Raw genomic sequence first — 13,904 nt, 5'->3', positions numbered from 1 at the left:
GAATCTGATTTTGCAGGAGTTTTTAAGGATGATTCCAACCTCCATCCTTGTGAACCACTGGTCCAGATCACGGGCTTCTAACTGGGCCCTGCAGAACCCTGGGGGCTCCCTACAATTCCTCCCTACCATCCCAGGGGTCTCGTAGGTGAGGGAGCACTCTAGTTTCCACTCCGAACAGAGCAGCTTTGCTCTCCTCTGCTGTACTTAGTATATTTCAACAAAGGATCCCGTGCGCTCCCCCAAGCCAAAAAGTTTTAAAGCACTGAACTGGATAATCTTTATGATACCTTCAAACATTATGTTGCTAGGTCTTTTTTTTTTAAGTTAAAATATGTTAAAATATACTATACACCCCAACACCCCACAGCACTGTTTCCAACAGAGCAATGCACTGAGGAACGAGTTTTGGAAGGACTTCATTAAAAGGTGCTTCTGTCCATGGGGTTCCCAGGGCATTGATTCAACGGAGAATTCTGCAGAAAGCTAAGGTATAAAACTAAAAATCTGAAGACTTCCAAACAAGAAATGATGAACCTGTGCAATTAAAGCCTTACTCCGCTTTCACAGTGGAAGGAAGTGGGTGTGTGGGCGAGGGAGGGAAGGTCAGGGAGAGAGGGAAGGCGGAGCAGGCCCATACCACCAGAGCTAAGCTCGGGAACAAGCACATTGGCACTGCACCTCTGACACTCATGGAGGGATTCTACTCCAGGCAGTCTTGAGTTTCATAAGCTCAGAACTCAGCAGATGCCACCTCCTCTGAGAGGCCTTCCTGGACCTGCAATGGGTTGGTTCCTCTCTTCTAAGGAGTGGCTGCTTCCATTCAGTTCAAGTGGCTGCTACCCTAGACTCAGCTCTGTGAAGGAAGGGGTGAGGTCCTGTCACCATGGGTGCTGGGCACAGAGCAGGGATTCACTGATATTGATTAAATGACACACACATGCCTGGGCATCATCTCAACCTACTTCCCCTGTGGACTCCAAGGCTGGCAGAGACCAGTGACACCTGCATAGGGGAATAGTACAGGGGCACTGATCACCATGCTCTGCTCAGAAACAGTCCCCAGCATCAGGATTCCCCCACTCCCAGCCACAGAGATGCCAAGCTCAGCCGCTCAGCATCTAGTCCTCTGTGGGTCACTCACTCCCCCTTTGCCTGAATCCCGTGACTAGTGGTAGGGTTATGGAAGGTGGAGGGTGGACAATGTCAGGGAAACAGTGGCCTTCAGATAGAGGTTATCAGCCAGTGAGATGGTAACCAGGCCCTGAGCATTTGAGGCATAAGTGCTTTGCTCCACCCAACTGGACTACACAGTCCTGGCAAGAAAATCTAGGGCTGAGGTGTTCTAACGCCCCAAAGAGGAAAGTCTGAGCAACTGACAAGAAAACTAAGGAAACCGATGGCTGAGATCCCACACTCAGATGGCGACAGGGATCAAGCAGGGAGCACCACAGGCTGAAATGGGCCAGGCACCAAAGAAAAGAAAGAACCCACCTCATCTGGAGGGGCCCCCACTAGCATGCAAGCCACATGGTACTGTGGGTCCAGCCTGGCCGACAGTGGGGTTTGTGTGAAATTCCTTCACTTTCCAACATGAGTCAGATCTGGCCAGGTGAGGACCTCAGATCTCAGATGCTTTTTCAAAGTTGAGGTTCTTCAATCTGATTGAAAATTCAAACAACTATAGAAGGTATTAACGTTGCAGGCTTCTCTCAGTTCCATTTCACTGTTTGCCTTACTAATTAACAATATAATTTCTTAGCTAATCCAGGCATAGACTCTGTGGCAAGTTTTAAGTGAGAGCAATTCACTGCGGCAGTACCAACTGTCTAGCCACAATCGAGGTGTGACAGGCATCAAGTCACCTGGGGGATAAGGTCAGCCAGGTAAATATTTAAAGGCTGTGCCTTCCCTGGCCAGATCTGGACTAGCATTATTTCCTTTCCATACCCTCATAACCCAAGTACACAGAACTACCACGGCTGACTGGAGTGTCTTAGGAGGAAACATTCCACCACAAAGGAGATAGAGGTTCAGATGCCCTTTCCTTGTTCATCCTCACACCATTCAGGCAAAAAGGGGGTGGTTTCCCTAGGTCCAGGAGTTGGCAACAAACCCAGGCAAAAGCCAGGGACCCAGTGCTCCAGCACACTTCTCCTGGGCAGTGAGGGCCCTCCGCAGATCCAGACCCATTCGGAAGAAAGAAGCGGATCTCTACGATCCATCCTCGGCCCTTCCTAAACAGCTCCTGCTGCTGGGAAACTTTGCAAGGGACATCATGTGCCCTCTGTCTCTCAGCATTTGGTTAACAACATGAGCTCTAGTGTAAGACTACCTGGGTTCAAGTCCTACTTCTGCACTCCCTGTGTCCTCTGCACCTCAGTTTCCTCATCTATATAATATAATCATATAAGCAACACTTAGGATCCAGGATATCATAAGTGCCTAACAAACCTTGCCCATTGTTATCAGACAAAAACAACAAAATGAACAAAGGATTTCTGGAATAATCAGTTCAGCAAATATTTTTGAGCACCTCTTTCTGTAAATCACTGAAAGGCAGCCATTTCCTTCATTCAACCAACAAATATTTATTCAGAACTTTCTATGTATCCAATTTTAGAAATCTAATATATTTAATTATCTAGCCATCCATCCATCCCATTTTTACCTGAGTGCCTAGATGTCTAACAGTGACAGGCTACAAGACACACACATCAATAGGCACATACAGACACTTAACAAATATATATGGGGCAGGCACCTATGTTGGTGCACAAGATGTGGTCTCTGGAGACAGCAGGGAAGACAGACAAGGGCATTACTTGCCCAGGCTTTTGCATCACAGAACTTTGCTGATCTGGCCAGGCTCGGTGGCTCGGTGGCTCATGCCTGTAATCCTAGAACTTTGGGAGGCCAAGGTGGGGGGATCACTTGAGGTCAGGAGTTCGAGACCAGCCTGGCCAACATGATGAAAACCCATCTCTACTAAAAATACAAAAATTAGCCAGGCACTCCTCTAATTCTAGCTACTTGGGAAGCTGAGGAAGGAGAATCGCTTGAACCCAAGAGCTGGAGGTTGGAGTAAGCCAAGATCACGCCACTGTACTCCAGCCTGGGTGACAGAGCGAGACTCCATCTCAAAAAAAAAGAAAAAAGAAAAAAGAAAAAGGAAAAAAAAGAACCTTGCTGGATCCTTGGCTCAAGCAATCTGGCCCAAGTGAGAGGTGCTGAACCATCAGAGGAAGGCAGGCCTTGGCAGCCTTTCCCGAGCTCCCTCCACGCCCCCACCCCCAGGCCCTCACCTGCAGGTCTCGGTTGTGGTTTTCACACAGGAGCTGAAGGAAGCGGAGGATGGGCTGCATGATGGTGATGACCGCGCTCATCTCCAGGTCGTCCTTGGCCTTGTCGGCAGTGGCCTGGGTGCCCTCTCCAGGCTGGTAGTGGTCGTCGGGATCAGCCTCCCTCCTGAAAGTGGTGAAGGCTTTCCTGGTGGCAGCGGAGGCCTCCAGGAGCTGATCCCGGACCTCTTCTGTTATCTGTGTTGTGGGCTCTTTAGCTAGAAAGCAAGCATAAGGCATGAAAGGCTGCAGAGTCCTCATGGGCCCTATTCACCACTCCAAAGGTGACACTCAGAAACCTACATTCCTTTATCTCCTAGAGACGTTCAAAGTTGGCAAAACACTCAAAGAAGTCACAATCTGCTCTCAGTCCTCAGACAGGATTAAAACCGAGCCAGGCCCTGCCACCTTACTTGTGGATCTACCATTTCACCTACGTGTACAGTGTGTTTCAGAGGAAAAGCCTCAGCACAGGTTCTGTCAGCCTCACACATCTAAGGTTCTGGGCCTCAGCTTCCTGATCTTTAAAATGGGAGAGCATCCGTGAATAACATCTCAAGAAAGTTCTTAAGAAGCTCAACATAATGCTAATCACAATTATTGTTGTCGTAATGCCTGACCCTTCTGTAACTATCAAAGCACTGTGATGAAGAACTTTGTGTGTGTTATTTTATCTCATCCTCAGAATAACCCTGTGAGGTAGTTATGGCATTACAGTTAGCAGTACTGACTCTGCGGCCAGACACGCTGGGTTCGAATGCTGGCTCCACTGCCTCCTAGCTGCATGTCCGTAATGACTTAATTACCATCTCTGTGCCCCAGTCCCCTCATCTGTAAAATGGAGGTACCTCAATTGTATCTATCTTGCGGTGGTGACATGAGTCTGAAATGAGGGGAACTGTAAAGAACTTTGAACAGTCCAGCGCAGTGGCTGGACTATAATCCCAGCTACTCAAGAGGATCACTTGAGGCCAGAAGTTTTAGACCAACTTGGGCAACATAGTGAGATTCCATCTCTACAAAACAAAAAATTGTTTTAAACATCAGCCAGATGTAGTGGTGCATACTTGCAGTCCCAGCTACTCAGGAGGCTGAGGTGGGAGGATCATCTGGGCCCAGGAGTTGGACGTTGCAGTGAGCAATGATCGTGCCACTGCACTCTAACCTGGGCAACAGAGTGAGACAGAGCCAAGATTTCGTTTTTTAAAAAAGAACGTTGAACAGTGCCTGATTCCTAGTAAGCACTTAGTAAATGGTAGCCATTCTTCTTTTTCTTCTCTTTAGCTCCTGTCTAGACCAGCTGTTCTCAGCCAGGGGTGATTTTGCCCCCAACCCCGCCCAGGGGACAACTGGCAATGTCTGGAGATATTCTGGGAGTAGGGGTATGCTGCTGGCATCTACTGGGTAGAGAATGTGTATGCTGCTAAGTATCTTACAGTGCACAGGACAGCCAGACAGTCCTGTAACAAAGAATTCTCCAAATGTCACTTGTACTGTGGTTGAGAAACCCAGTTCTAAACTTGAAACGTGAGGCTCAGCATGCTTAACTTTCTCAAGACCATCTGACTCCAACACTTGTGGGTCTACCCACTGCCCAGTACGACTTCTCTTCTGGTGAGATACTGGATAAAAAGCTTTATAAGCTTTCCAATACCTCGGAAAACAAAAGAACATTATCTGACAAAGGACTAACACCCAGTTTTAAAATACGTATTTCCCTCAACTTTCTCTAACATTGAATAGGAATCACAGGAAAAGATTATTCATGGATCCCTTGCCAATAAAACCCTAAGCTCGACCAAGAGGAATGTTCTTTATTAAACAGGAAGATCCTTCTGAGCAGCAGGGCTTCAGCTCAGGTCACTGAGGAAGAATTACATCATAACCAGGCTGGCATTTCTTCTGAAAGCTCCCATCATAATGCATTTTAGAGCACAGAAGTAATGAAAACAATGAAGGATAACAAGGACTCTTCTGGTGTTCATGATCCAGCTGACTGAAGACTGAGGAACATTTACCTTTTTTCCGTGATGGGGCATCCCTGTCTACCTCATCGTCTTTCTTTTTATTTCCCAAGTCACTGGTGTTCACTGTCACTGTTGCTTTGATTTCTTGCTGGGCCACCTTCATCCGGTCATAAAACACCTTAAAGAATTTCTCTGACTTCTTATCTTCTGTCAAGCGACAGAAAAAGGAGTGCTGCAAAGGAAAATCCATAGATTGTGAACACTGTAACTGACCAGAAACTGCACCCCACTCATGACACCAAAACCTAATGAAGATCAGAGCCAGTTGCAAAACCTCACGCATGATCTAAGTTTAGATCAACATTAAGGACCACTCCACACACTGTAGTTCTCTGGGTTCTAAGGCCTGGGGTTTTCAACACAGAGCCTTTGAAACAAATTGCTGTGGCTGCAACAGACACATAGGCTTTGGGAGCATGCTCGAGTGTGGTGGGCAGACTGTTGCCAACTAAGAACAATTCCCTTCCACCCTTGCACACACGCAAAACAACACTGTTAATAATGAAAACTGAGCTTTTCTGGGGGGATTACTGCAGGGCCAATCATTTGTTTAAGGGCTTCTATGCACTCTTCCCCTGGGCAGAGCCCTATGAAAAATATACACATGAATAAGATATGCTGCCTTTGCTCATTAACAGGTTAGGATGACATGTCCATAAATCAGACTAAATTATGTTAAGTAAAAAGTACTCAGGTAGCTACACAATTATATTATAAATGCTCAGAGCTGGTGAGGATGACACTATGCTATAGTGACTCCAAAATCTTCAAGAAAAAGGTCATCTTCAAATCAGGCTTCAAAGGACAGGTAAGAGTGGTTAAATGAAGAAGCTCAGAATGAACAGGTAGCTCTCCTCTTGGATACACATTTGTTTTTGGACCCTCTGCAAGCAATAGTATACACTGTTGATGGAAAAACACAATATGGTGTCTCAACTTCATTTATGAGTATTCGCTTTTCACCCCTTTGCAAACACCACGCTGTTGTAAATTATTTACATAAAAATACAATACGGTCATTTCCAGAGAAAAAAAAAACAAAGCTCCCAACAATATATTTGCTTCTTCCAGTGTATCTTCTGCCAATTTCAAATCTTTCCATTTGGAAAGATGGCACTTCCCTACAGAAGGCAGTCCTAGGCTTCCAATCCCAGAAAGAACTTAAATCTTATCACCTTCTTGAAGCCACCTTACTCTTAAAACTCTCACCCATACACACACCCCAATGCCTGATTCAGCAGAGCCCTAGGGAACCACCAGATTTCCATCGTCGACATGCAACTTCAGCTACTCTGACTCCTCCAGCCATTGACTCACACACTTTGTGGACAAACATCTGTCCTGTCTGCCCACAATGCACTTCTTGGTCATGCCCTTTCTCTTCCTTCCAACTGTTCTTCTTTACCTCTGGTTGCTTTTTACAGCTCAGGATCCATCCATCCTGCCTGTGCTCCCTGGTTCGTTTTCCCTCCAGCCACTGCCAAATGCCAGGACACAAGTCACCACCTCCCCTATGCTTAGCCTTGTCATCCTCCATGTCATTGAGGCCTTCACGACTCCCACTCTGGAACCAAGGTAAGTCTGTAGTGTCCTTCATTGCCTTTTACTGCCTCGTTTCTTTTCTTTTCTTTTCTTTTAGGTTTCCTGCTATTTCATCCATCCATCCATTCATCCATCTACCTACTCATCCATCCACCCACCCACCCATTCACCCATCCATCCATCCATCCATCCATCCATCCATCCATCCATCCAGCCACCCACTACTTATTTTTGCATTTGTCACAAGGTGGGCACTATGTCAGTTATAAGAGAAGTGAACAAAAAGGAGCCTAGACCTTTCCCCCATGAAATTGACAGCCTCAGGAGGAAAACACATAGTAATTCAACAATCACCATAATGACTACTTACTAAATAGCCTTTTACCCCTACAAAAGTGACCCAGGAGGCTGCTGGTAAACAAAGCTGTGGCAGACGCTCAATGCCACTGCCCTATTCTTATATTCCTAGCTCTTCCCACAGCTAGGGCCCCTCATCTTTTGGGCCCACCACCAATGCCACCTGCTCAGTGAGGCTGCCCCTACAGCAGCTCCCAAGCCTATTGCTTATTCTCCATGCCTTGTTTCATCTTCTTCACAGCAATCAAGGCCTCTGAATTGCACTGTTGCACTGACCGTTCACCTCCTTACTGTCTGCCTTATGCAGAGTGCAAGCTCTGTGAAGGCAGATGCCTCGCCTGAGTGGTTTCCAGCTGCCCCCAGAGCACCTAGAAGAGGCCCAGCAAATAGAAGGCACTCCATGATTATTTGATAAAAGAATGAATATAACCCAACACTTTATGGCTCCCCATAACTGGATGCCCCCCTCCCCATGGTCAGATCCTTTTTATATTTGGTGGACATGACAGAAATAAATCTCCAAAATAAATGAATTCTAGAAAATTGCTCAAATATGAGAAAGCAACTTTCAGTTGTTCACTTCTTTGAGAGCTCTTGAACCCTCAGGTCAATAAAGGAGACAAAAAAATCATGGGGGCAAAGAATGCAACCTGAAGCCACCTAATTATGGTGACTGAATTTCTCACCAAGACAGACCATCCAACATCTCACCCATGCGGGCTTACAGAGGACTGCCCGCTAAAGCTGGGGTGCACCAGAAGGTGGCCGTGCAGGGCCATTCGCTTCAGCTGCTATCCCAGCTGTGTTCTCATGGCATGGAAGCAGCTTTAAAAGCATTTTGGGACAATCTGGTCATTCAAGGAAACAAAAGCCCTTCAAGTAAGTAAGTAAATGAATAAATAAAGCCCGCCATCTGTTATCTGACAGCAGCGCCACGCGACACACACAGATAGCCTGCCACGGACCGCGCTGTCTGACGGCCAATCGGGTGACCCAATGGCTGTCAACCGCTAGGGTCAGGGTAAGGGAAGCTCTTATGAGATGAGACAGGGCCAGGCGCTGAGAACGCCACATTGCTGTGTGTGTTTCCGCCACGGTCACTAGGTTTGTTTCGCATTACTGATTCCAGTCCTCAGTCGCTCAAGGGTTCGAAGCAGCTTTATTGATAGAATGTGCTCAATAAAATAATAAAATGGATAATAAGGTCTAGAAGACACAAGTAAGCACAGAAAATCAAAAAGAGAATAGGTTGGGAACTGGAGAATGGGGAATGAGGATTCAGAGGAGTCCCAGGCTGGGCTCTGAGGTCAAGATGAAATGAGAGGTGTGCTCAGTTACACTACTCTTGGTATCAAAAGGAGATATACAACCAGTGCCTCAACGGAAGGAAGACATTTCTTTTTTTTTTATTCTGTTCAAGTAATTTTTAGAAACTTTTTAAATTTGTTAAGTTCTGGGGTACCTATGCAGGACGTGCAGGTTTGTCACAAAGGTAAATATATGGTGGTTTGCTGCACCTGTCAACCCACCCATCACATACATATTAAGCCCAGCATGCATTAGCTCTTTTTCCTAATGCTCTCCCCCAACTCCTGCCTCCCCCAACAGGACCCAGTGTGTGTTGTTCCCCTCCCTGTGTCCATGTGTTCTCATTGTTCAGCTCATACTTGTAAATGAGAACATGTGGTGTTTGGTTTTCTATTCTTGCATTAGTTTGCTGAGGATAATGGCTTCTGGCTTCATCCATGTCCCTGCAAAGGACACGATCTCATTCCTTTTTATGGCTGCATAGTATTCCACATTTTATGGCTGCATAGTTTATGTACTATAATTTCTTTATCCAGTCTATCATTGATGGGCGTTTGGGTTGATTCCATGTCTTTGCTATTATGAAGAGTGCTGCAATAAACATATGCATGCATGTAACTTTATAATAGAATGATTTATGTTCCTTTGGGTATGTACCCAGCAATGGGATTGCTGGGTCAAATGGTATTTCTGGTTCTAAATCTTTGAGGAATTGCCACACTGGGAAGGTGTTTCTTAACAGAGGAATTAGCAGGGCAGGTTTTGCAGTCAGACTGCCTGGGTGTGAGTCCCAGGTCCTTGACCCACTGGCTCTGTGGACTTGGGCACACTGCCCAGCCTCTCTGAATCCACATAGAAGGGCTGCCATGATGCATGCCAAGTGCTTAGTACAGTGCAAACTGATGGTGTTAATTTTGTTTTTCTACTACCATTACATTAGTAGAATGTGAAAACTCCAAGGTGAAGGTGATCCTGTGAGCAGCTAGGACAGGAGAGCAAAGTGAGAGCTCTGTTTCCAGAGTCAGAAAGGCCTGGATCTCAGCTCCACCGCTTACTAGCGAGTGTCACCTTAGAAAGTGACAATGTCTCTGAAACTCGAATCTTCTCATCTGCAAAATGGGCAATAATCGTACTTCATGGATGGTTGTGAAGGTTCAATGAGATCACTACAGTAACACGATAGCTAACACTCACTGACTGCTTTCAAGCTACCAGGAGCTCAGGCAAACCTTCACATGTTATCTCACCCAAAAACCCATGGAGCTAGTTACAAGGCCTACCTGGGCAACATAGTGAGACTTCTGTCTCAATGAAATAAAAAAAATTAAAAAGGTACCCCCGAAGAAAGAAGTGGGGTTTCTAGAACAGAAGCAGTGGTATCTATTGCAAGAGTAGAAGTGAAACATGATGGTAGTGTGGGTAAAGAACTAACATACTTCTTCTTAGAAGGGGCGTGCCCTTGGAGCGAAGGGAGGCAGAGGGCCCTCAGGGAGGGCCTTCTGGAATTGCTGGCTGTGGCTGCTGGAGGCATTCACCTGCCCCCTCTGCTACCTGGTGTGACCTAGACTTAGAGAGACAAGAGCCCTCCACACAGTCACAGACCTGTTCATTAAGCCTCTTTCTGTAATGATGCGTTTGCAGGGCTTGGGTGGGGAATGGAATGTTCTCCTCAGGACTGTCTCCCTATGGCTGGTGGGAGCTGAGAGCAGAGAAGGTGGGTGCACAGCCTCCCCGCCCCAGGCTCCTGAAGCACGGCCCCTCTACCCGCTACACTGCCTCCCTCTCTCCCTCCCGGAACCTCTTTCAATTCATCACTCTTCACCCAGACCAAGAGCAAATCATCAGAGATTTTACTTTTCCAAACTTTTCACTCCACCCCACCTGGCAGGTGTGAGGTAGCCCTTCAACATAAACCTGGCCCAGACTGGGAAACATCAGGTGATGGTGAGAGAAATCAAAATGGTGGTTGCTAGGTACCCATCAACAGTGGGCTGCGTAAAGAAAACGTGGTACATATAAAACATGGAATACTACACAGCCATAAAAGAGACTGAGATCAGGTCCTCTGCAGCAAAATGGATGCAGCTGGGGGTCATTTTCCTAAGCAAATTGATGCAGGAGCAGAAAACCAAATACTACATTTTCTCACTTGTCAGTGAGAGATAAACATTGGGTACTCATGGACATAAAGAGGGGAACAACAGACAGTGGGGAGTGCCTGGGCGGGGGCAAGGGCTGCAAAACTCTTGGGTACAATGTTCACCACCTGGGTGAACCCCCCCAAACCTCAGCATCGCACAATATACCCAGGTAACAAACCTGCACATTTACCTCCTGAATCTAAAATAAAAGTTGAAAAAAACACCAAAATGGTGGTTGCCTCTGGAGGGTGGGGGGTTGTGAGTAGAAAAGGACTATAAATGGGAATGAGACAACTTTCTAGAAGAAAATAAATGTCTTGATTAGGTTGGCAGTTTCACAGGTGTGGTAGACAGAATGGTCCCCGCAGACATGTCCATGTTCTAGTTCCTGGAACCTGTGAAAATGCTGTCTTATGTGGCGAAGGGGAATTAAAGGTGCAGATGGAACAAAAGCTGCTAATCACCGACCTTAAAGTAGACAGATGAGCTTGGATTACCCGGGTGGGCCCAACATAATTACAAGGAGCCTTCGCTGTGGAGGCAGGAGGCAGGAGAGGAGGGTGGCGAGAGGCAATGTGAGAAGGACTCCATTCACCATTGCTAAACCTGAAGATGGAGGAAGGAGCCACAAGCCAAGGGATGTGGGTGGCCTCTGGAAACTGGAAAAGGCAAGGAAGCCTTCTCCCCTAGAGCCTCCAGAAAGGAGCGCTGGCCTGCCAACACTTGCTTTAGTCTAGTCTAGTAAGACTCATGTTGAACTTATAAAACAATACATTTGGTTCCTTTAAGCCACTCAGTTTGTAGGAATTTGTTACAGCAGCCACAGAAAACTGGTACAATGGGTATAGAAACATTTGTCATATCGAATCAAAGTCTACATTTAAAATCTGTGCCTATGATTATATGTCAATTATATCACAATAATAATAATTAAAAAAAGATAACAGAAAGTCTGCTTTGTTCCCAGAAAGCTGGGGAACTCTGTAGAGGGGCCACCTTCTGAGGCTGCCTCTCCACCAGAGGGAACGGCATCTGCCCCCGCCAGGCCGACCTCTCCTCACCCTCCAGTCGTCTCCAAATCACATTTGATTCCAGAGCCCTTTCCATATAAGCTGTCTCACCAGAGTCTTAGGAGATTGCCAAGGCAGATATCATCATTCATAAATCTGTCACATTATAGATGAGAGAGCTGGGGTTAGGAGAGGTCAGTGACTTGTGGCAGAGCCACAACCAACTCTCCTCCCATCTGCACGTTGAACCGACACAGACAACCAGCCCCAGCAGTGAGGCCGGAGTCAAAGGCTGGGAAAGCAGAAGACACAAAGCTGGTCTGCGGGCAGATCCTCAGCACCAGTCCCAGACATCCCTGATGACAGATCTGATCAGATACGCTTTAAGGAAAAGGCCAGGGCAGGGGCAGGGGCAGGGTGAGGCAGTGACCCCGGCAGTGGCTGTTTCCATCCTGAATCCACTGGACAGGGGGAAAGGGAAGTGGGCATGGCTGCTGTCAGCCAACCTTCAACCACAACAAAAGAGCAAGAGAACACAGATCACAGAACTCTGCAGCTGGAAGCACTGGAATCCAGCAGTTTCCAAATGCCTTTTTCAGCAGGGTAACGTGCTCCTCTCCGGTCCCAAAACACCATCTTAGGATAAAGACGCCGCTAGATAAAAGACAAAAGGCAAAACAGCTCCATATGAAGCAGAGCAAAGAGGGTCCCCTCCCTCTTGCCATTGAAACTCCTTGGAACTTCAGGAGAGCAGCACTTGAAAACCACCCATGTCGTCCATCCTTCCACATTTCACAGATGAGGAAACTGAAGCCCAGAAAGGGAAAGAGACTTGCCAGGGCCACACAGAACCTCCCTCCCCTGACTGCCCAAGACAGTTACTTTTGACCACACTGGGGTGTGGCTGGTTGAAACTACAACCCGAGTTTACATTCTTACCTTCTGATAATTGTCAAGTAGACAGTTTTCCCTCCTTGGGTTGACTGAGCTGTAGAGGGGCCAATGAATCCGGGTCTTAGATTAAAAGAATAACAAAACTACCTTTTCAGATCAGCCTTGAAAATAATATAATATTGCTTAATTAGCCTGGCTCCCCCATCCTCCCCCAGCCCTGCAAGTCCTTGCAAAGCCATGGAGCGTGGTTATGACGAGCCTGCCTTGCTTCAGGAACAAGAGCCACCCCGAGGTTAGGGGCTAGTGGACAGTGACGGCCACCTCGGTGACAGCAGGGAGACAGAGGGCCTGGAATTATCACTGGATGCAAGTTGGACACCAGTCTTTGGCCATTTACATAACACCCACCTCCTTTCTGGATCCACCTATCTTACCCTTCCCTGGAAAGGGGTATTATTGTTAGACAACTGTAGCACTTTGCATCTGAGTAGCTCTTGGTAGTAATCAAAGTGTTTTTGACACCTAACGTTTCATAACAACCTTGCTGGACCCCAGCTTCCATGTGATGCTGACATGGCAGATGGTAAGACCCTCATTTTTCAGCTAACGAACCCAGGGCACAAATGAGGTTAAGTAAATTGCCCACGATCACATGGCTGGATAGCAAGGAGCCAAGGCCATAATTTAGGTTTCCCGACTTCCAGTTCTCCAGGCACGCTCTGCCTAGCCAGGTGTGTTTTATTACCTAGTTCAAAGGGGGACACTCCTTTCTTTAGGTGCAAGAGGTCACAGTCCTAATCAAACTGTGTAAACAAGTGGTCCTGGGGAGGAGAATAGGAGAGACAAATCTTCTCCATGACCTAGACATATACCCATGAAGCCATCTTTCCCAGAATTCAGGAAGTTCAGGGGAAAAGACAGGCCTTGCAGTCCAAGGATCATGGTGCTCCCTGGAATGTGAGCCAGCCTACCTGTCCGTTTCTGGGCCACCAGACCATTCTAGGGGAGGAGCCCCTTTGTGGCATCTTAGCTGCAAGACAGGGCAGTGGCGGGGAGCATAGATGTATGTGTCCCAGGGTGGAGCCTGGTGGGAGCGGGCATGGCTTGCGGGGGAGCAGTCCAGCACAGAGTGACGGCTGCAGGACTCAGATCCTTCCTCAAAGAAAAGCATTTCCATCAGCTTCTAAAAGTTGGTCCACCTTTCAGAAGCCCTCGCTCTGGGCCTTGAGAGAATCCAGAGAATGGGATTTTCCACCTCACTGCCTCATAAGACATGGCCCTGACCCA

The 13,904-nt window shown here is 47.1% G+C and overlaps 1 protein-coding gene across 4 annotated transcripts in view, besides 1 other annotated feature; it reads right to left on the bottom strand.

The window, feature by feature from the left end:
• The window catches only part of ITPR1 (inositol 1,4,5-trisphosphate receptor type 1), a 354,159-nt gene that overhangs the window by 75,440 nt on the left and 264,815 nt on the right, over nucleotides 1-13,904 (bottom strand). For all 4 annotated transcript variants that reach the window (NM_001378452.1, NM_001099952.4, NM_001168272.2 and 1 more), the window contains 2 exon segments: nucleotides 5,357-5,537; nucleotides 3,303-3,556 (listed from right to left, as the gene is read on the bottom strand). In NM_001378452.1, the coding sequence (NP_001365381.1) occupies nucleotides 3,303-3,556; nucleotides 5,357-5,537 (435 nt within the window).
• Nucleotides 5,028-5,322: a silencer, noted in NCBI's record as "tiled region #7157; HepG2 Repressive non-DNase unmatched - State 16:ElonW". NCBI's record gives its function as "represses a minimal TATA promoter and a strong SV40 promoter by Sharpr-MPRA in HepG2 cells {active_cell/tissue: HepG2}" and the evidence as "EXISTENCE:reporter gene assay evidence [ECO:0000049][PMID:27701403]".

Source organism: Homo sapiens, chromosome 3 (assembly GCF_000001405.40).
Source record: "Homo sapiens chromosome 3, GRCh38.p14 Primary Assembly".
Taxonomy (NCBI): domain Eukaryota; kingdom Metazoa; phylum Chordata; class Mammalia; order Primates; family Hominidae; genus Homo; species Homo sapiens.
This window is presented reverse-complemented; position numbering and strand designations above follow the sequence as displayed.